General features: G+C 43.6%; 1 protein-coding gene across 36 annotated transcripts in view, besides 2 other annotated features; it reads left to right on the top strand.

Moving 5' to 3' along the window:
• The window catches only part of APBA2 (amyloid beta precursor protein binding family A member 2), a 232,342-nt gene that overhangs the window by 125,366 nt on the left and 84,547 nt on the right, over positions 1-22,429 (top strand). For 5 of the 36 annotated variants that reach the window (XM_011521489.3, XM_047432416.1, XM_011521490.3 and 2 more), the window contains one exon: positions 2,752-2,941. The exons of the other annotated variants lie outside the window; for them this stretch is intronic. The gene's annotated coding sequence lies outside the window, so the exon portion shown is untranslated. The remainder of the gene's footprint in view (positions 1-2,751; positions 2,942-22,429) is intronic. 36 annotated transcript variants of the gene reach the window in all.
• Positions 1,594-1,794: a silencer, noted in NCBI's record as "peak2281 fragment used in MPRA reporter construct". NCBI's record gives its function as "represses an SCP1 promoter by STARR-seq MPRAs in K562 erythroleukemia cells {active_cell/tissue: K562}" and the evidence as "EXISTENCE:reporter gene assay evidence [ECO:0000049][PMID:32103011]".
• Positions 4,271-4,477: a silencer, noted in NCBI's record as "fragment chr15:29307813-29308019 (GRCh37/hg19 assembly coordinates)". NCBI's record gives its function as "represses an EF-1alpha promoter that drives an FKBP-Casp9 reporter gene in an ReSE screen in K562 erythroleukemia cells {active_cell/tissue: K562}" and the evidence as "EXISTENCE:reporter gene assay evidence [ECO:0000049][PMID:32094911]".

Raw genomic sequence — 22,429 nt, forward strand, 5'->3', positions numbered from 1 at the left:
TTATTAATTAGTTCAAAATCTGTTCACTTTTTAAAATTTCTCCTTTGAAATGTGGGTTATTTTAAAGTAGTTGATTTCCAAATGCCTCCATATTTTCTGGTTATATTTTTGTTATTTATTTCTAGCTTGCTTACCCCGTAGTCAGGAACAGATTATTTACAATGTTAACATTTTGAAATTTGTTTACACTGGCTTTAGACTTGTCCACCATATGATTAATTTTGACAGACTATCCCATGTGCCCTTGTGTGTAGTTCCTCAGTTCAGTACTTTCGATATATTCATGAGGAAAAATGGGTAATTGTGGTGTTCAAATCTTATATTTCCATTCTTATTTTTACTTCTTTGTTATATCATTTACTGAAAGAAGTGTGTTAAATTATCCAGCTGCTCATAATGTCTGTGTCTAATAGACATAAATTTCATAATGTCTAATACTTTAGATTTGTCTTATTATAGTCCTGTCAATTCTCCCTTTATAAATTTTGAGTGCATTTAACTAGATACATATAAATTTAGAATTTATTCCTAGTAGGTTGCCCTTTTTAATTATGAATTCTTTCTTTTCCATAAGAATGCTGCTTTTCGTAAAATCTAGTTTGTCTAATTACCAATATAGGTATATAAACTTTCTTTTTTAACTTACTGCTTTAGAATAGTTTTAGATTCACAGAGATGTTGCGAAGATAGTAGAGAGTTCCCATACATCCTGTACCTACTTTTCCCTGTTGTTAACATCTCACATTAGTATGGTACATTTGTTACAATTAATGAACCAGTGCCAATGCATTATTATTAACTGAAGTCCATACTTCATTCACATTTTCTTAGTTTTTATCAAATGTCCTTTTGCTGTTCCAGGATTCTATTAGGAGACTGCTTTGAGTTCAGTTATTATGTCGCTTTAGGTTCTTTTAGACTGTGACAGTTCCTCTGACTTTCCTTGTTTCTGATGACCTTGACAATTTTGAAGAGTAGTGGTCAGGTATTCTATAGAATATCTTTAAATTTGAGTGTGCTTGGCATTTTTCTCATGGTTCAATAGGGGCTATGGGCTTTGGGGCAGAAGATCCCATCTGAAAAAGTGCCATTCTTATCCTATCAAATCAGGGCTACATAATTTATCACTGCTGATGTTACCCTCAATCGTCTGAGTGTTATGCACCATCTCCATGAGGGAACAGTATCTACACAAATTATTTGCAATTCTGCACAGGGAGATTGGTCTGTTCTCACTCATTTATTTTCTCATTCATTTATTTATATTTGTATGGACTCATGGATATTCATTGTATACTTTGGGCTATAAACCAGTATTGCATTATTAATTTTGTTGTTCAGATAGTTCCAGCTTTTGCCCTTTCCTAAGATAGTGGACTCACCCCTCTGTGTTTCAACTCTACCAATTTGGACCCTCAAGTTCTTGTTGCCTTATTAGCCATAAATTGCAATTTCTTATTTCCCCAGTCCTCTGAGACTACTGAAAGTTCTGCTTAGGCCTATTGCCTCTTAACCACTACTTTCTTCCTGTGTGTGTTTTTAACCTTTTGGCTTCCATCACTCACAAATCCCCAAATGCCTTGACGAGAAAAGCAGCACAGAATGCTGAGCTTATTTCTGGGTAATTATCTACTTGTCATGATCTCAGCCCCTCAAGTCCTAGCTGCCTTGGACTCTCTGATGCTTCCACAGAGATCATTTAAAAAAATTTCGTCAAGAGTTTCTAGTTGTTCTTGGTGAGAGGATTAGTCTGACACAAGCTAGTGCATCATAGCAGGCGGTGGAATTCTTCAGACATAATATTTTTTTTTACTTCTTCTACTATGTCATAGTTGATGGTGCCTCATGGTATTTTAATATCTGATGCTTTGCACCCATACAGCAACTATCCTGAGTAACGAAGATGTTATGTCATATAGGAAAATGAGTCATTCTTTTTTTTTTTTTTTTTTTTTTTTGAGACAGAGTCTTGCTCTTTCGCCCAGGCCGGACTGCAGTGGCATGATCTCGGCTTGCTGCGAGCTCCGCCTCACGGGTTCACGCCATTCTCCTGCCTCAGCCTCCCAAGTAGCTGGGACTACAGGCGCCCGCCACCGCGCCTGGCCAATTTTTTGTATTTTTTAAGTAGAGACGGGGTTTCACCGTGTTAGCCAAGATGGTCTTGATGTCCTGACCTCGTGATCCACCCACCTCGGCCTCCCAAAGTGCTGGGATTACAGGCGTGAGCCACCGCCCCCGGCCGAAAATGAGTCATTCTTTGCATTTCATTCATTTATGCCCTTAGTCACAAGGGCTTTAGCAAAGAATTGGCTTCCACCCTCTCTTTAAGGTAAGGAAATAAATAATGACCTTGGAAGACAGTATTCATCATAAAAGCGCTTGATGAAAGGAGCAATTGGAGTGAACTATGTAAAACAGGCTTTTCAGTCTAATGGGACAGTGTAATTACTGGTGCAGATTTCTAGTTAGGCCTTAAAGAAATTAAGCCTCCCTATATGGTTAATAATGGACTTGTGTAAGAAGATTGCTTCAGAGATGAAGTTTGTGATTCACATTAGCATATTTGGCAGTGAAAGCGTTACCTTTCTCAATCAAGCAGGATATGTAAGATCTTTGTGTATGCTTTTGCTAAACTTTACTGCTGCCATCCCTGAACTTGACTTGATATTTTTACATCCCCTTCAAGTCTGCATCCCAGTTTTGTGTCATCTACAGTTCTGAAGAGCTGCCTTGTGCTTTATCATCATCCAGGGTTGAAAAGAGCCAGATCATTGGAGAATCCCCACAGACTGACAGTTTTCCCTGAATCGATGCCTGCTTATTGTGCTCATGCAGGTAGCTCCTATTCCATCTCACTTCGCTGCATGCAGCTCACATATTTCAGATGATCCACAAGAACATTGGGAAGGACCTGCCAAAATCCTGCCTTGCTAAAGTCCAGGTATACTCTCTTCCAGATCTCCCTTAACTGCCTTTGCAGATTCTATATCGGAGAAAGAAGTGAGGCTAATTTCACAAACTTATTCTTACCGAATTCATTTATAGCTCTAATAATTACCACTTTTCTTAGATGTGATCCCAAAACAATCCTTTAATAAATGCATTTTAGAACTGCACTGTCCATAGTGGCAGCTACTTGCCATTTAAATTTAATTTAAATGAATTAAAATGAAGCAGACAAAAAATGCAGTTTCTCTATTGGACTAACCATGTTTCAAGTGTTCAATACCTGCCATATTGGGCAGTGCAGATAGAACACTTCTATCATTGCAGAAATTTCTGTTGAACAGAGCTGTTCTAAAACCTTGTTTTAGAATCAGATCTGAGCTCACCCGTCTGCAGATTACTCAGTCATCATTTGACTGTTTTTTTTTTTTTTTTTTTAAAGAGACAGGGTCTCACTTTGTTATCCAGGCTGGAGTGCAGTGGTGCCATCATAGCTCACTGCAGCCTTGGACTCCTGAGCTCAAGTGATCCTCCTGCCTGTCTCCTGAGTAGCTGGGCCTACAGGTACATGGCACCAGGCCTGGACATTATTTAAGTCTTTAAGAAACATCTACATGTGTTTTTTCCTGTCACCTCTCTTTTTCTCCATTTCCTTCAAAATCACCTTGAAGGCGACTCCATTTCTGTATTGCCCAAATCAGTCTACAGTGTAGGTGTTGGATGTGGACTTTTTTTTTGGTTTCTAATGAGGTTGTGTTGCAGATGAGCTGAAGCCACCTTTGATATTCTAGGATTTGTGCCTGAAGAATAGCGCTTTCTGTCTTGCTGATGTTTATATGACTGCTATGATTGTCAAGGGAAATAAGGAGAAATGAATGGGATCCACGTTGCTTGGCCCAGCATACCTGTTTCTGAGTGCTGTTGGAGCTGAGAGGCATGCTCTTGGAGAATCAGCCATCAAGCTGTCTTTTCCAGAGTGGATGTTGTCCAGGGCAGTTGCAGAGTGAGCACACTGTCAATGAGTGCCTGGGGTCCTTCATTTATTTCTTTACAGCATCTGTAGTAGAATAAAATTCCAGTGTTAAGAGACAAAAAAAATGTGCCCAGCTCTCCTGGGGTTGACAGTCTCAGTTGGTAAATCCCATCCCAAGGGGGCAGCTCCTCTCCTGTCTGTGGTTTGCCTGCTGTCCCCCAGGAGCCACACTCACCAGTTTGGTCAGCTGGCAGATGATAAGAGGGAGAGAATCTTTTAGAAAACAGATCCTGGAGATCATTGTTAGTGGAGAACTTATTATCAAGTCAGGAAGAAGAAAAATCATTGTTAGTTGAGTGAATACATTTTAAAAAATGATAAAGTGTTCGTCAGGCACTTGGGATTTCTTGCTCATATGCTAATAGGATTTTTGAAAATCCACTCACTGTTTGGAAACTTGCTTGCTCAGTGACAACTGCATCCAAATAGCAGATCATGAGCCAGGTTTGTGGGGGGACAAGAGTGAAGGGAGTTCGGAGGAAGTCGCTCTGGGCCAGGAGGCAGGGACCCTGGCCACCAGCCATGTGACCCGGGGCAGATCCTTGCAGTGCTGGGCCTTGGTTTTGGCCACTGCCCCCTGGCCCCCCACTTCCCAGAATTATTGTGAGGAACTGTGCGTGTATGTGCAGGAACTGGGTTAACATATCTACTTATGGTTGGCCGGGCGCGGTGGCTCACGCTTGTAATCCCAGCACTTTGGGAGGCCAAGGCGGGCGGATCACAAGGTCAAGAGATCGAGACCATCCTGGCCAACATGGTGAAACCCTGTCTCTACTACAAACACAAAAATTAGCTGGGCATTGTGGCGCATGCCTGTGATCCCAGCTACTTGGGAGGCTGAGACAGGAGAATCACATGAACCAGGGAGTCGAAGGTTGCAGTGAGCTGATATGGCGCCACTGCACTCCAGCCTGGAGACAGAGTGAGACTCAGTCTCAAAAAACAAACAAACAAGCAGACAAACAAACATATCTACCTCTGGTCAACACAGAAACAAGGTAAGCTTTTGTTATCCCCTTTGATAGACAAAGCAACAGAGCTTAATGAGCATGCATGTCACAAGGAAGCACAAATTCACGCTTATTATTTTTATGGGAAGACCCCTCACTTCCTGGTCCTGATGTTCTCTGTGGGACCTTTGGTGAGTCAGGGAAGGCCTCACAGTATGGAGACAACAGTCCCAGCCTCTGACTTGCAGGAGTGTGGGGACTAAGTGACACTGGAAGTGTGCTGCACACGTGCAGGCCTGGATTATTAGGAGGGAAGGTTAGAAATCAAGAGCCAGGGGAAAACTGGGAATAGCTGGCTGGCTTTTCAGAAGGGAGTCATTATTTTGTGCACCTTGCAACTCAGGCAGTGAGCCTGGCGGGGAAAGAGAAATGGCTGCTCTTTTTTTCTGTCCATGTGTCACCCCCTGTCAGTGTGTTACTGGGTGCAGGTGTCTCCTCTGATGGTGTCTGGGCTTTTCTTTCCCCTCCCTTCCTTCTTTGCCTGCTTCTCCTTTGCTCCTCTGTCTCCGTTTCTCTCTCCCTGCATTTTGTCTCTTTCTATTCCTTCTTTCTTCCTTTTTTATCTTCAGATTTTAACCTGTTCCTTTCATCAAATGATGCTTATTAAATACATTTGGTGATTTATATTTTTGTTTCTAAGAAAGCTGATCAAAATAACTGTGTAAGTTCAGTCCGTGAAAAGACAATAATGATGACAGGCAGGCAGCGCTTTGGAGGAAGGAGGGTTGGGTCCCGGGTACCCCTGATTCGGTGGGTGTTTGTGCATAGAGTGGTACCTGCCTGCTTGAGGATAGGAGGCTTTGCAGCTTGAGGTCCTTGCTCCCTGGTGTGGGGCATCTGAAGGGCTGTGGTGGGAAGAGGGTCAGAACCAAGGCCAGATGCACCCGGAGCTTGCTGCACGCACTTCTGGGAGGTTTCCTCTTATTTTCTCTATTTTAATTTCTCCATTTTCTCTTTTCTCTCTTTCCTCTCTTTCTGGAATTCCCATCTATCTGATTTTTGACCTATTCATTCTATCTTTGAAGTCTCTCTTTTCTTTCATATTTTTCCATCTTCTTTTCTTTCTTTCTTTTTTTTTTTTTTTTTTTTTGAGATGGAATCTCTCTCTGTTGCCCACTGCAACCTCCACCTCCTAGGTTCAAGCAATTCTCCTGCCTCAGCGTCCAGAGTAGCTGGGATTACAGGAGCCCGCCACTGCGCCCGGCTAATTTTTGTGTTTTTAGTAGAGACAGCAATTTCACCATGTTGGCCAGGCTGGTCTTGAACTCCTGACCTCAAGTGATCCGTCCACCCTGGCCTCCCAAAGTGCTGGGATTACAGGCATGCGCCAATGTGCCCGGCACCATCTTCTTTTCTTTCCGTTCTGTTTTCTGGGATAGTTCAACGACTTTAAATACCCATATTGAAATGTTTATGCTTGCTCTTACTTTGGCTCTCTGAGGGCTCTTTCTATTCTTTCGTCATTTCTTATTTTGTAGCACTGTATCTTTGTGTTTCTGCGGCAATATCTTCTTCTATTTATTTAAAGGTATTAATTTGTTATTTTGTTTCTTTTTTGACAATTACTTCTGTTTCCTTCACTATCTTTTTTCCTTTGCTGTCCTTGTACTTGCTTGCCTGGATTTTCTTCTTCCTGTTTGAGACCTTCCTCCCAGATCTGTGAGCCGTGGTTGTTAATTCGCATTGAGAAGTGAAGCACTGAAAATTGACTGGAGTGTCTGCAACGTGGCTGCACATTAGCATCACCTGGAAGCATTAAAAACTACCTCTCCCGGGGGACAGTCTCAGGGCCATTGGATGAAGATCTGTTAGATTGGGGTCTGCATATTGATAGGTTGATAAATAAAGATATTGATAGAGATCGGTAGGTAGAAATACAGATTTTCCCTCCTCAGCAATTCTAATGTGCAAGCAGGGCTGAGCGTTGTATAGTCTTGGGTGACAGTGCCGGGCCTCTGGAGAGTTGGTATAATTACCGTGCAGCGAAACCACTCTGCGTTTTACTGTGCCGGGTGCCTGGAAGACTTTGATTGCATCCATATGATTCTTTTTCTGTACCTCTGGCAAATTGCAGATTGGGAGGAATTATATATCCCTACAGAGACTTCAGTGAATGAAGTTTCAGGGACCTATGAGCAAGAAGGATGAACTGGCTTCCCGGGGAGGGGCCAGCAGTCCTTCTGCCAGACAAGTCATCAGGGCTGGGACAGGAAGCATGGGAAGGGCAGCTGTGCAGAGCAGGATCCAGGAGGGGCCACCTGGTGGCAGGTGTGGCCACTGAGCAGCCCCTGGCTAGGGATGGAGCTGGAGCTGCCAGGGAAGCTTTGAGGCCAGGTAACTTGGCTCTTGGGCTCTCATGAAGCCAACTGTTCCTCTCCCAAGCTCTGAGAAAACAGTGGAGTCCTGGAGTGACAGGATATGGTAGCTCCATAAGGAGGAGGAACCTGTAGTTGGAGGGGCAACACCAGGAGGCCAGTGAGCGATACTCTGTACCTGAGAGAGGTGGCCGGAACCTGGGCCCCCACTTGCTGCCAGTGACCTTGCACCTGCCACACCTTCTCTTGGAGTTTTGGCTTCTTTAACTGGGACATGAGGATCCTGACCATCTCTGCCAAGCAGGAGAGGAAATGGGCTGATGTGTGTTGTGAGGCAGTAGAGACTGGGGCATAGGAAGCAAATTGACTCTCAGAGTTTATGGTATAACCTTCTCCCACGCTGTAGGGATCAGGTTTGCCCCTAAACCTGCAGACTGGCTAAGGCCAGGGCTGGAAAGGGAAAAAAGTAAGCAGAGGACAGGTCATGCTGCAGGCCGGCCCCTCACCCCTGGTGACTTGTGCTCTTGGAGTGAGGGCCCAGGAGGGGGTTGCCTGCCTATGCGTGTCTCTCCCTTTCCCCCTCCTGTTCTGTGGGGCTGGGCCTCACACGGCCATTCTTCGAAGGAGGAAGGTGGCCTTTTGCATTCCCTGTTGGTGTGTTACTTATTGTCACTTATTTTTGATTAAGGATATTATATTTAGGGAGAAATTATTTGCATTTTCTTTGTAAATCATCTGAAGAATTGTGCAACACAGGAGTGCATTCGGGAAGAAAATTCAGACATCAGAGATAAAGCAGAGTTCTCCCTTGGCTGCATCTACAACCTTCCTCTCCCTAGAGAACCACTCTGTGGTTAGTGTGTTTTCCTTCATTATCTTATATAAGCATTTATGCATGTGTAGATGTAGATGGCTGTGTTTTGTTTTTATGCACATAGAAGGTATCTGTGCATTGTTCTGCTGCCGGAGTTGTTCAGAACATGGTATTGTGGAGAACCACATGACTGTACACACAGGTCTATCTTAGAGACCTGCCTCATTTGCTTTAACTGCTGCAGAGGCTTCCAGGGACCGTGTGTACAGTACTAGATACTGTTTAATGAACACTTTCCTACTGATGAACATTTAGGTTGTTTCCTAATGTTTGCTGTCACAAACAGTGATGCTGGTGGGTTAATGCTTCTCTAGGGGAGAGAGCAAGAAGCAGAAGTGCTGGCTGTCATCTGCATTCTGCAGTTTACCAGATACTGTCAGGTTCCCTTCCCAAATGGCTACAGAGTGGTTTGGTCCCTGCAGTGTCATCAGTTCCCGACATTATAACTTTGCAGATGTGATAGGGAGAAAATCTCCATTTTATTTTTTCATTTCCTGGATTATTTGTGAAGTCAAGTATATTTGCCTGTGTTTACTGGCACATGTATTTTCTCTTTGGTCAATTTCCCTTTTGTAATTTTTGCTCAGTTTCCCATGGGGTTATTCGTCTTTTTCTTATTGATATCTAGGAAGGTCACACGTTCATGTGAGTGTTTGGGTGTGTGGGTATACAAGCAAAAAAAGGTTTAATACATCCTGGATGCTCATTCTTTGATACATTTACTTCGACTATTTTCTTCCAGTCTGTTGTCTTCTGTTTTAGGTGTTTTTTTTTTTTCTCATCCAGGTTTAAACATTGTTTATTGTTGTAGCTAAATAATTCACTTTATTTAGGGATTATAAGAAAATGTAGAAAGTAAATTTGCATTCTTTTCCTTTTTCTTAGTATTATGAAACTTATTTCTTTTTTAAAAAACCAGTCTGTTGAGGTAAGATTGCCATATAAAAGCTGTACACATTTTTTTTTTCCAGTGACTTTTTTAAAAAATATATTTAAAAACAAAACCGGCCGGGTGCTGTGGCTCACGCCCGTAATCCCAGCACTTTGAGAGGCCGAGAGGGGTGGATCACCTGAGGTCAGGAGTTTGAGACCAGCCTGACCAACATGGTGAAACCCGGTCTCTACTAAAAATACAAAAAAAAATTAGCTGGGTGTGGTGGCATGTACCTGTAATCCCAGCTACTCGGGAGGCTGGGGCAGGAGAATTGCTTGAACCCGGGAGGCAGAGGTTGCAATGAGCTGAGATCATGCCATTGCACTCCAGCCTGGGCAACAAGAGTGAGACTCCATCTCAAAAAACAAAAGACAAAACGACCTCCTCCCAAATAACCCCCAAACAAACAAAAAACCAGATTAAATAAAATTTACAGTGAATATACCCAGCAAACATTTGTATGTGCAATTCAATACTGTGTCTGTTACTGCGGCACGAACCTCAGACAATATATAAGCGTTCTGGGGGGTCGGGAGAGTCCCAAGTTTTAACTCTGTGGGGTCTAGGAAGACAAGATGGGGAAGTGAGAGAATGGGGAAATCCGTTTTGTTTATCTTAATTCTTTCCATATAAATATATTCATAAAGACCAAAAAGGAAAGGAAGCTTGGGATGTTAAGGTAATAGGAGAATAGGAGAGTGTGGGACTTTCCCAATTCTGACTGACCAAAAAATATGAAAGGAATTAATTTTATGGTGGGAGAAGAGATTTAAAAAATAAAAAAAAGAGGATGGGGGCCAGGCACAGTGGCTCATGCCTGTAATCCCAGCACTTTGGGAAGCCAAGGCGGGCGGATCACCTGAGGTCAGGAGTTGAGACCAGCCTGGCCAACATGGTGAAACCCCGTCTCTACTAAAAATACAAAAATTAGCTGGGCATGGTGGCGCGCGCCTGTAGTGCCAGCTACTCGGGAGGCTGAGGCAGGAGAATCACTTGAACCCAGGAGCCACAGGTTGCAGTGAGCCAAGATCATGCCACTGCACTCCAAAAAGCTGTACATATTTAATGTACAACTTTGTGAGTTTAGAGCGAAGCCAACCCCCATGAAACCATTGCCACAGCGTGTGCCGTAAACAGATCCATCACCTGCTCACGTTTCCTCCTGCCTACTTTATTACGATGATGATGATTTGTGATGAGAAACTCAACAGAAGATCCACCTTCTCAGCAGATTTTTAACTGTACAATACAGTGTTGTTAGCTGTAGGCACTGTGCTTTATAGTAAATCTCCAGAACTTACTCAGCTCGGACAGCTGATACCGTGTACCCTCGGCCCAGCATCTTTCCACTTCCCCTACCCCCAGCTCCTGGAAACCCCCATTCTACTCTCTGCTTCTATGAGTTGACTTTTTAAGATTCTGAATATAAGTGAGATCATGCGGTATTTATCTTTCTGTGCCTGGCCTATTTCACTTAATGTCCTCCAGTTTCATCCGTGTGGCTGTACATGGCAGGATTTCCTTCTTTTTAAAAGCCGAATAACACTCCATTGTAAGTGTATACCATGTTTTCTTTATCTGTTCATCCCTCAAAGGACATTTAGATTATTCACATATCTTGGGTATTGTGAATAATGCCGCAGTGAGCGTGGGAGTGCAGACTTCTCTCTGAAATACCGATTTCAGTTCCTTTGGATGTATGCCCAGCAGTAGGATTGCTGGATCATTCGGAAGTTCTATTTTTAATTTTTTGAGGAACCTCCATACTATTTTCCATAATAGTGATACCAATTTGTATTCCTATCAACAGTGCACAAGGATTTTCTTTTCTGCACATTCTCACCAACGCTTCTTATCTTTCATCCTTTTGATACTAGCCATTCTTACAGGTAATAGTGTGTTTTGCATTTCCCCGATTGGTCTTTTCCTTGATGATTTTTTATTGTCTTATTTAAGAAGGGCTTCCTTATACTGAGTATCTAACATTTTAGAGTCACCTATTTTACAATAAGTCTTTAGTCCCCTTGAAATTTATTTTTGTGAATAGCGTAACTCAGGGATATATATATAGCTTTTAAAAAATGAGTTGCAAAGTTTATAACCCATTCCCCCCACCAGCTGATTTGACATGTTACCTTTATCATATGGTAAATCATTATAGATGATGAGTTGTTCTGGACTGTCTTCTGCTGGTCTATTTGTATACTCTCGTGGAATAAAAAATTCTATGGTTTTATATCCTTCATTGTTCTTCTAGAGTGTTTCTGCAATTGTTTCCTCTGCCATCTGAATTTTATTATTCTCATTGGAGGTTCTTTTGGAATTGCACTGACTTTCTAAGTTGATTTGGACCAAATTAAAATACTTAAAATTGAAATATTTACTATATTAAAATGCAGTATTATTTGTTTTTATCTGGGAATGTAGTGTATTTTTTTCTTGAAAGTTTTGTACACTTTTGTTATGTTCTTTCCCTATATGCTTTATAGTTTTGTTGCTATTGTGTATGAAATATTTTTTATTATTACATTTTCTATTTGGTTGTTGCTGGTGCTTAGGAGAGCCATTGATTTATGTGTTAAACTCATACCTGGCCACCTTGCTAAACCTTTTTCTTAGTCCTAATAATTCGTCCGTTGATTCTCTTGGTTTTCTATAAAGACAGGAATATTGTCTGAAAAAAATGCCTCCTTCTTCCCCTCTTCCTTCTCAAACTGTACACCTCTTGAGATGTCTCTTTGTGTTTGTACTTCTAGGTAGGGTAACCAGCCCCAGACTGAAAGGTGACAGTGATAGCAGCCTTCCTAATCTTGTCCCTAAATTTACAGGGGATACTTTTATGGCGTCACTATAAAATGAGATGTTTTGCTGCACTTGGCTGATAAATATCCTTTATCAAGTTAAGGGAGTTTGCTTCTTGGTCTACCTTTTAAGGTTTATTTTAAATCAGGAATGGGTTGTCGAATTTGATGGCCATTATACCTTTTTCCTTTTTTTTTTTTTTTTTTTTTTTTTTTTTTTTGAGACAGAGTCTTGCTCTGTTGCCTAGGCTGGAGTGTAGTGGCGCGATCTTGGCTCACTGCAACCTCTGTCTCCGAGGTTCAAGCGATTCTCCTGCCTCAGCCTCCCGAGTAACTGTGAATACAGGCGTCCGCCCCCATGCTTGACTAATTTTTGTATTTTTAGTAGAGATGGAGTTTTGCCATGTTGGCCAGGCTGGTCTTGAACTCCTGACCTCAAGTGATCCACCTGCCTCAGCCTCCCAAAGTGCTGGGATTATAGGCATGAGCCACCACACTTGGCCCCATTTTATACCTTTTTCATGGAAGTAAACATTTTCTAATTCACAATAAAAGAGAAAAAAGTATAATAAACACAACATATCCATTGCCATATTTGCTTAGATTTGTTGTTAGCATTTTATTATATTTGCTACTTCTTTCCTTTTTGTCGATTTTTTTTTTTTTTTTGAGATACAGTCTCGCTCTGTTGCCCAGGCTGGAGTACAGTGGCATGATCTCGGCTCACTGCAACCTCCACCTCCCAAGTTCAAGCGATTCTTCTGCCTCAGCCTCCTGAGTAGCTGGGATTACAGGTGCATGCCACCATGCCTGGCTAATTTTTGTATTTTTAGTAGAGACGGGGTTTCACCATGTTAGCCAGGCTGGTCTCGAACTGCTGACCTCAAGTGACCCACCCACCTCAGCCTCCCAAAGTGCTAGAATTATAGGCACAAGCCACTGTGCCCGGCCTTTTTTGCTGAAGTTTTAAAAGTTGTAGCCATCATTATTTGGCCATATAAGTTCAGCGTGCACTTTAAAAATAAGCACATCTTCCTACATTTCCACGAGACCATTATCATAGTAACAGCATTCACAGTAATTCATTGATAACATTTAATACCCAGTCTATGGTAAACACTCTCCAGTTGTTACCAGAATGTCCTCTACAGCTGGTTTCTTTACCAGGGCCTGGTCACTGCGGAGACAGCACTGTGGGCCCTGATGTCTCCACTCCTTCTCTAACTGGAATGCACCCTCTTCCTTTTTGTTCCATTACACCTCTCTATTGCAGAGACTCACGTGGACCAGCTGTCCTGCATCAAATCCCATCTTCAGCGTTCGTCTGATTGCTTTCTGGGCTAGCATTTAACTTTTCTCTCTAGCTCTTGCGCTTCTTGTAAATGGGAATTTCAGTCCAAAGGCTTGTGTGTTTTTGCTGTGAAACAACAGCAGAATCTCATAGGACGAGAATTTTTCTTCCTGTTTGTAGGCAGGGTCAGCAAAAGGGCAGGTTTGTTCAGGTTGCAGGTCTGCTGGGGTAGCTCTGCCTGACATGTTTATTCTGAGACCCAAACTAGAGGGTAGGGGCTGCATGGGGCTCGTGTTGCCCATGGTGAGTCAGAGGAACACAGGAGGAGCGGATGGAAGCAGGAGATGGCCTGAGGTATAGCCTTGGGGCTTGCAGGTGGACGGTTCCCATTCCACTGTCGAGTATCAATGGAGTGGGCAGTGTGCTTGTCCCATGGAGGAGGAAGGGGTATTTGCTGAATGATTAAATCCAACCCACCAAAGCATGTTTAGATTCAGACTAAAAGTTCTTGGCAAGAATACTTCATAAGCGGTGGTGTATGCATTCTATTGCAGCATGTCACAATTCACATGTAATACGTGGTTGTCTCATTAGCAACTGATCTGACTAGTTACCATTTATTAATAAGATGCTGTGCTGAACTTCTGTTAACCTCAAAAGGGGAAAGCACCAGGTTCAAGGCTGAAGAAGAGACCCAGAGCCAGGAAACAAGAATTGGGATTTTTTTTTTTTTTTTTTTTGAGATGGAATCTTGTTCTGTCGCCCAGGCTGGCATGCAGTGGCGCCATCTTAGCTCACTGCAGTCTCCGCCACCTGGGTTCAAGCAATTTTCCTGTCTCAGCCTCCTGAGCAGCTGGGACTACAGGCACGTGCCACCCTGCCCAGCTAATTTTTTTGTAATTTTTAGTAGAGACAGGTTTTCACCGTGTTAGCCAGGATGGTCTCGATTCGATCTCTTGACCTTGTGATCCGCCTGCCTCGGCCTCCCAGAGTGCTGGGATTACAGGCGTGAGGCACTGCGCCTGGCCAAGACTTGGGATTTTATTAGGGGCCTGCATACAGGGGAGACGGATGGTGGTGGATTGGACCAGAGAACCGCCTTATGTACAGAGATGGTCCAGTGATGGGCTGGGCGTGGTGGCTCACGCCTATAATCCCAGCAATTTGCGAGGCCGAGGCGGGCAGATCACCTGAGGTCAGGAGTTCGAGGCCAGGCTGGCCACCGTGGTGAAACCCCATCTCTGCAAAAATACAAAAATTAGCCAGGCGTGGTGGTGGGTGCCTGTAATCCCAGCTACTCGGGAGGCTGAGGCAGGAGAATTGCTTGAACCCGGGAGGCAGAGGTTGCAGTGAGCCAAGATCGTGCCACTGCACTCCAGCCTGGGCGACAGAGCAAGACTCCGACTCAAAAAAAAAAAAAAAGAAAAGAAATGGCCCAGAGATGGCGGGCTGGATAACATATCGGCCTTCCTGCAGTCTTGTGGCAGTGGGCTGGGCAGGAAAGCTGCAACTTCTTGCCAACTTTATGCAGTTTATTTAGCATTTCTACTTAACACCCTCCTCTTAATGACCCCTACCCAGCAACCTTCATTTACCCCAAAACTCAGGGCCTCAATGCCCTGTATGGCCCGTGTTCCATAGGATGTTCCAGGGGCTCAAATGTTCCTCATAGACAAGGAACGAATCTCTGGGTTGGCCACACCTGATTCCCCAGCTCAGAGCACACACTCAGGTGCATCTGCCATACAGGGTCCTTCTGAGGGTAGGTTCAAGTTATCGCTGTCAGGTGCATTTACCCTACAGCTGGTGACAGCTTGAGTCTTCTTTTATAAAGTTTCTTATGCTTGAGACTGACAAGAAATCTGTGGCTAGTTCTTTGGCACCATGTATATGAACGGCCAGTTAACCCTCTGTTATCCATTGGTGATCCTGGCCTGAATCAGTTAATTCATTAGTTGTTGCAAATTGGTGGTTTCACAATTCTCTCATACTGTTTTCATTTATTAGCTGTTATTCTTCTGTAAAGAAGAGATTTTCCTTATCACCTGGAGCTGTTAGACCACCCTGAAATACAGTATCGTTAGAACAGGCCGGGCATGGTGGCTCACGCCTGTAATCCCAGCACTTTGGGAGGCTGAGGTGAGCGGATCACGAGGTCAGGAGATCAAGACCATCCTATCTAACAAGGTGAAACCCCGTCTCTACTGAAAATACAGAAAAAAAAAAAATTAGCTGGGCATGGTGTTGGGCGCCCATACTCCCAGCTACTCATGAGGCTGAGGCAGGAGAATGGTGTGAAGCCAGGAGGCGGAGCTTGCAGTGAGCCGAGATCCTGCCACTGCACTCCAGCCTGGGCGACAGAGCAAGACTCTGTCTCAAAAAAACAAGAACAAAAAAAACCAAATCCTTATTTCTCTTCAATTGTTAATTTTCAGAATAAGAAGTTGGCAATAGCCAATTTTAATGGTATGATACATTCTCAGGGTGTGCCATCTTCCCCTTTATGATATAAACCATTTTTGGTCATGACGTGTTAGTTTTTAATGCTAATAGTGAACCTATTTGTTAAAGTTTGAGGTAAGATCTTTGCCTCTCTCATGTTGGAGACTAGTTTGTGCTTATCCTTTCATAAAATAAATTGCTTCAGCTTTCCATCTCTTTTTTGAGATGTGACATCATGGTAATCTATTCCTTGAAAATGTAATAAAACGTGTTTGTCAATTCATCTCGGTCTGGCCTTTATTAGGTTACCTTGTTATTTTAAAATATCTTCTATAGCTATTCAGTTTTTCTACTTATTGAGCCAATTGTGGTAATTTATATTTTCTTAGAAAATCTTACATTTCATTCAGTTAGATTTGCAAATTCATTGGCATAAAGTTCTGAAAAGTATTCTCATAATTTTATAAATTTTTCTGCATCTGTAATTATGGGCTTTTCAGTTCTAATGTTTGTGTTTTCTTTCTTTTTCTTGATTTGTCTTATGATATGTATTCTTTTTATACTGGGCCAACTTTCAATTAATTACTGTCTTAATTTTTTTTAGTCTTTTATCTTTTTTTTCTTTTTTTTTCTTTTTGAGGCAGTCTTGCTCTGTTGCCCAGGCTGGAGTGCAGTGGTGTGATCTCAGCTCACTGCAGCCTCCGCCTCCCGGGTTCCCGCATTCTCCTGCCTCAGCCCACCGAGTAGCTGGGACTACAGGCGCCTGCCACCACGCCTGGCTAATTTTTTGTATTTTTCGTAGAGATGGGGTTTCACCGTGTTAGCCAGGATGGTCTCGATCTCCTGACCTCATGATCCGCCCACCTTGAAGCCTCCCAAAGTGCTGGGATTACAGGCGTGAGCCACCGTGCCCGGCCTAGTCTTATATTTTTCTAATTCCTTCATTTTGATTTTCACTTTTATTTCTTAGACTTATTTTATACATTAACACTCTTTTCGTTTTTTTTTTTAATTTAATTTTTAAGTTTTGGGGTACATGTGCAGGATGTGCAGCAGGTTTGTTAGGCCGGTAAACGTGTGCCATGGTGGTTTGCTGCACCTATCAACCCATCACCGAGGTATTAAGCCCCACATGCATAAGCTGTTTTTCCTAATGTTCTCCCTCCCCCGATCCCACCCCTGACAGGCCCCAGTGTTTGTTGTTCCCCTCCCTGTGTCCATGTTTTCTCAGTGTTCAGCTCCCACTTATAAGTGAGAACATGTGATGTTTGGTTTTCTGTTCCTTTGTCAGTTTGCTGAGGATAATGGCTTCCAGTTCCATCCATGTTTCTGCAAAGGATATGATGTCATTCCTTTGTATGGCTGCATAGTATTCCATGGTATGTATATATGTACCACAGTTTCTTTATCCAGTCTTTCATTGATGGGCATTTGGGTTGATTCCATGTCTTTGCTATTGTGAATAGTGCTGCAGTGAACATAGGGGTGCATGTATCTTTGTAACAGAATGATTTATTTTCCTTTGAGCCTATAAACCAGTAATGGGATCACTGGGTCAAATGGTATTTCTGGTTATAGATCTTTGAGGAGTCACCACACTGTCTTCCACAGTGGTTGAACTAACTTGCATTCCCACCAACAGTATACAAGCATTCCTATTTCCCCGAAACCTCGCCAGCATTTGTTGTTTCTTGACTTTTTAATAATCACCATCCTGACTGGCATGAGGTGGTATCTCATTGTGGTTTTGATTTGCATTTCTCTAATGATCAGTGATGTTGAGCTTTTTTTCATATGTTTGATGGCCACATAAATCTCTTCTTTTGAGAAGTGTCTGTTCATGTTCTTTGCCTGCTTTTTAATGGGGTTGTTTGGGTTTTTTTTCTTGTAAATTTAAGTTCCTTGTAGATTCTTGATACTAGACCTTTGCCAGGTGGCTAGATTGCAAAAATTTTCTCCCACTCTGTGGGTTGCCTGTTTGCTGTGATGATAGTTTCTTTTGCTGTGCAGAAGCTCTTTAGTTTAATTAGTTCCCATTTGTCAATTTTTGCTTTTGATGCAGTTGCTTTTGGCGATTTCATAATGAAATCTTTGCTGGTGCCTATGTCCTGAATGGTATTGTCTAGATTTTCTTCTAGGGTTTTTATAGTTTTGGGTTTTACATTTAAGTCTTTAATCCATCTTGAGTTAATTTTTGTATGAGGTGTAAGGAAGGGGTCCAGTTTCAATTTTTTGCATATAGCTAGCCACTTCTTCCAGCACCACTTACAAACAGGGAATCCTTTCCCCATTGCTTGTTTTTGTCAGGTCTGTTGAAGATCAGATGACATTAACCCACTTTTCTACCAAAAAAAAAAAACCCCTCTGTAGTAAATGTGTATATTTCCTAATGAGTACTAATTTGGCCATATCCCCTAGTTGTGATATCTAATTTTTTGTTCATGTCTAAAAATACATCATTTACATTTTGAATGCTTTCTAAGCCTCAGTTATTTAATGTTTAAGAATTTCCCAGGCATGTCATATTTTGTTTTGTTTTTGTTCTTTAACTATCTTTGTAGCAGTCTGGGTCCACTCAGGAGATGGGAACCCCAGGGGGAGCATCATATTTAATAGAATTATTAGGTATGATGAGAGAGTAGCTGTTAAGAGGTGGAAGTTCTGTGTGGTATCGTGGGGGTGGAGGGAGGGGGACCTAAGCAGGGGCAGACCTGGGAAAGCCCCAGGGAAGGACCAGCTTGTTAGGGAAGGTGTGGTTCAGCAGTGGAGAGCAGGGACAGCCGCTGGTTCAGGCAGTCCAGCACTGGTCTAGAGATGCTGTTGGTCACAATAGGCCACCCTCTGGAGTACAGGCTGGGGAGCAGTGGCTTGAGGCTGGGCCTGCGGTGTGAGTTCGGGCACCAGCACGTCCAGAGGTGCCGGACATGCAGAAGGAACGATTGCTCAACGCAGGACTCTCCAGACCACGCGGGCTACATGGGGTTTGTCGAGGGAGTCCAGAGGTGGCTGGCCATGTGGAGCTCTGGGTTCGAGGCCCAACAGGTGTGGCCCCAACAAGGCTGCAGGGTTGCAGAAGAACTAGGTGCCTCTGTGGCCTGAGCCGGGAACTGCGGGAACCGTTTTCCTCCAGCAATGTTGCTCCATCACCCTCTGCCCAGAAAGCTTAATGTGCTCACTCTAAAGGAGAAACATGACCGGGCCCGGTGGCTCACGCCTGTAATCCCAGCACTTTGGAAGGCAGAGGCAGGCGGATCACGAAATCGGGGGATAGAGATCATCCTGGCTAACATGGTGAAACCCCGTCTCTACTAAAAATACTTAAAAAAATTAGCCGGGCGTGATGGCGGGTGCCTATAGTCCCAGCTACTCGGGAGGCTGAGGCAGGAGAATGGCGTGAACCCGGGAGGCGGAGCTTGCAGTGAGCCGAGATGGCCCCACTGCACTCTAGCCTGGGCCACAGAGCCAGACTCCGTCTCAAAAAAATAAAAATAAATAAATAATAATAATAATAATAAAATAAAGGAGAAACGCTTAAGGGAATTCTGTTTATTCAGAGAACATATTGAGGGGTACATTCAGAATTGGGAGGCAATGAATTGATAACTGACACAACCTTTTTGTCATTCCTTTCTAATTGTCCCATTGTAGTCAGTGGGTGTAGCCAGTACAGATTCTTTGTAGAATGTCACATTTCTTTTGTGGCCTAATGCTACATAGGCAGTTTTGGTTAAACCCATGTGAGTATGTGTGTGTGTGTGTGTGTGTGTGTGTGTGTGTGTAAAACCTCCGCCTTCTCTATTTGTTAGGTACGGGGTTCTAAATAAATCTTATTGTTATTTAAATTTTTATATCCCATCTCATTTTTGTCTGGTTAATTTGATTTTAATCTCTCAATATGAATGTGGCTATTAATTTCACCTTTTATCATTATTTGCTTGGTTTATATTTTGAAGCTATGTTGTGAAGTTTATAAAGGTACATGATGCTCTTGGTGGATTATTTTTGTTATTAATGGGAATTTTTCCTTTTATGCCTTTGCATACTTTGTTGTTTACATTCATTTTGTCTGATTAATATTGCCATATGAGCCTTCTTTTTATTAGCACTTGTCTGGTGTATCTTTTCCTATACTTTTATTTTTAGCAGTCTTCGTGCCATTTTTTTCAGGTGTCATCAGAAGAGACTAAGCAACTCATGGCTTAATTTTCTAAAATAATCTGAAAATCTATGTTTTTCAACAGATGGACTAAAAGAGAGTATAAAGAGCACTGCATTCATTTGCTCAGGCTGCGGTAACAAAACACAGACTTGGTGTCGGAATCCATAGAAATGTATTGCCTCACAGTTCTGGAGGCTGGGAGTCCAAGATCAAGGTGTCAGCAGGGCTGGCCTCCTCGGGCCGTCTCTCCTTGGCCTTGATGCCCCTGCATGTGTTCTTCCTTCTGTGCCTGTTGTGTGCCCCTGGGGTCTCTCTGTGTACCCCAATTTATCTTTTTTTTTTGAGATGGAGTTTTGCTCTTGTTGCCCAGGCTGGAGTGCAGTGGCGCAATCTTGGCCCACTGCAACCTCTGCCTCCCCGGTTCAAGTGATTCTCTGCCTTAGCCTCTGGCAAAATGCCCTTTTCAATCCTCCCTGCCATTGGCTACTTTTAGGATCCTGCTGATTGGTGCATGTTACAGATTGCTGATTGGTGTGTTTTACAGAGTGCTGATTGGTGCATTTTACAATCCTCTTGCTAGCTACAGAGTGCTGATTGGTGCTTTTTTACAGAGTGCTAATTGGTGCATTTTACAATCCACTTGCTAGCTACAGAGCGCTGATGCATTTTACAATCCTCTTGTAAGACAGAAAAGTTCTCCAAGTCCCCACTCAACCCAGGAAGTTCAGCTGGCTTCACCTCTCACAACCACCCCAAGAAAGTTGAGGGTGAAGTGCAGGCCATGCACAGGATGCTGTCTTGATACTGAGAAAAGGAAGGTGGTGTTAACCACAGAATTTCATGGCCAGGGGTGAGAGTTAATGTAGCAGAGGGGCTCTCCTTGGAAGGGCTGTCTAGAAGAAGAGTGTGTAACTCTGGGCAGGATAGGAAGAGGTGACACCTCCATGAGAAAAGGGACTTTGTCTTTTTTGCCCCTGTCTCCCCAGCCTGTGGCTGGTGTGTGTCAAAGAGGCAGAGTCATTCCTGTGTAGTCATGATGGTTAGTTTTGTGTGTTAACTTTGCCCAGCTCTGGTGCCCAGTTGATTTGCTCAAACACCAGTCTGGATGTTGCTGGGAAGGTAATTTTTGGGTAAGATGAACATAGTAGACCTTGAGTAAAGCAGACTGTCCTTCATATTTGGATGGGCCTAATTCGATCAGTTGAAGGCCTTAAGACCAAAGGCTGAGGTTCCCCGAAGGGGAAGGTCGGCCCCCAGACCCCCTTGTGACTCAAGACTGGAATGTCAACTCCTCCTGGAGTTCCCAGCCTGCCGGCCTGCCCTGCAGATTTCAGATTTGCCAGCCTCTGCAGTCATGTGAGCCAATTCCTTGAAATAAATCTCTTTTTATATATCCTGTTGGTTCTCTTTCTCTGAAAATTCCTAATACTGTAGTTTTTTCATCTGGTGATCTATTTGGCTATCTCACTAACTTCTGAGTTGGGACAGCCTCAGAGTCAGAAGTCATGTGTCTCCTGGACCCTCCATCCCCAAAGCACAGCCCCATGCCAAAATATGCCTTTATGTTAGTAGCACTGCCCAGCCCTGTTCAGTTTTCTGAGATCCAGTTCCTACAAGACTGTGGCACTCAGTACTTTTCATCTCATTGGGTTCTGTGCCTCTGGGGCTGTTGCCTCTGAGACCAGATCCCGGATCCTTTCTTTGTGGGCTGCTCCACCCCTGCTGTGGAAATCACACAGAAGGCGGACAGTACATGTGGACAGGTCAGACAGACACACTGATTGGCCAGCTGCAGCATGGGGAGCATGGACTCTGCCCACAGCTGTGGCGAGATGGCTCTGTGGTGAGATCTGGGCTTTCTTGTGTGCTGAGGAATGGGAGCGTTTGCCATCCTTATCCAAGCTGCATCACTCAGGGCTGGCCCCTCTGAGGTTGCACTGTGGGCCCCACCCCAGCCTCTGAACGAGAATTGGCATACCAGCCAGATGCCTAGGTGATCTGTGCATGTGCTGCAGGTGGAGAAGGTCTGCACTAGACATCTCCAGAAGGACGATCTGGGATCAGGGTTAGACAAGGCCCACGTCTGCTGCCCAGCCCTCTCCTCTTTGATGTCCTTTCTGCACCTGACACCTCTTCTTGACATTCCCTTTCCTTGGTTTATGTGGTAAGACCTCTCTGTCCACAACAGGAATGGTCTTACCCATCTTCTTCTCCTACCATGTATTAATAGTTCCCTGTGCCTTAAACCCCTGATTCAAAACCTGCTTCCTCAACTCTCCAAAGTCAGCCAAGCGAGAGGTTATGGGCACAGTCTTCCACAAGACTGCCCTCACTTCTGACACCAGCCCCAAATTCAGGGGTCCTCAGGCCCATCCTTACTTCTTACCAGCTGGTCAGGGGTTCCCATGACCAGTCTTAAATTAGATAATTTGCTAGAATGACTCACAGAACTCAGAACACCATTATACTTAACAATGACAGTTTCATTATAGCAAAAATTTACAACCCAGAACCAGACAAAAGAAGGAACACCTGGCTGGGCGCGGTGGCTCACGCCTGTAATTCCAGCACTTTGGAAGGCCGAGGCAGCTGGATCACGAGGTCAGGAGATCGAGACCATCCTG

Source organism: Homo sapiens, chromosome 15 (assembly GCF_000001405.40).
Source record: "Homo sapiens chromosome 15, GRCh38.p14 Primary Assembly".
Taxonomy (NCBI): Eukaryota; Metazoa; Chordata; class Mammalia; order Primates; family Hominidae; genus Homo; species Homo sapiens.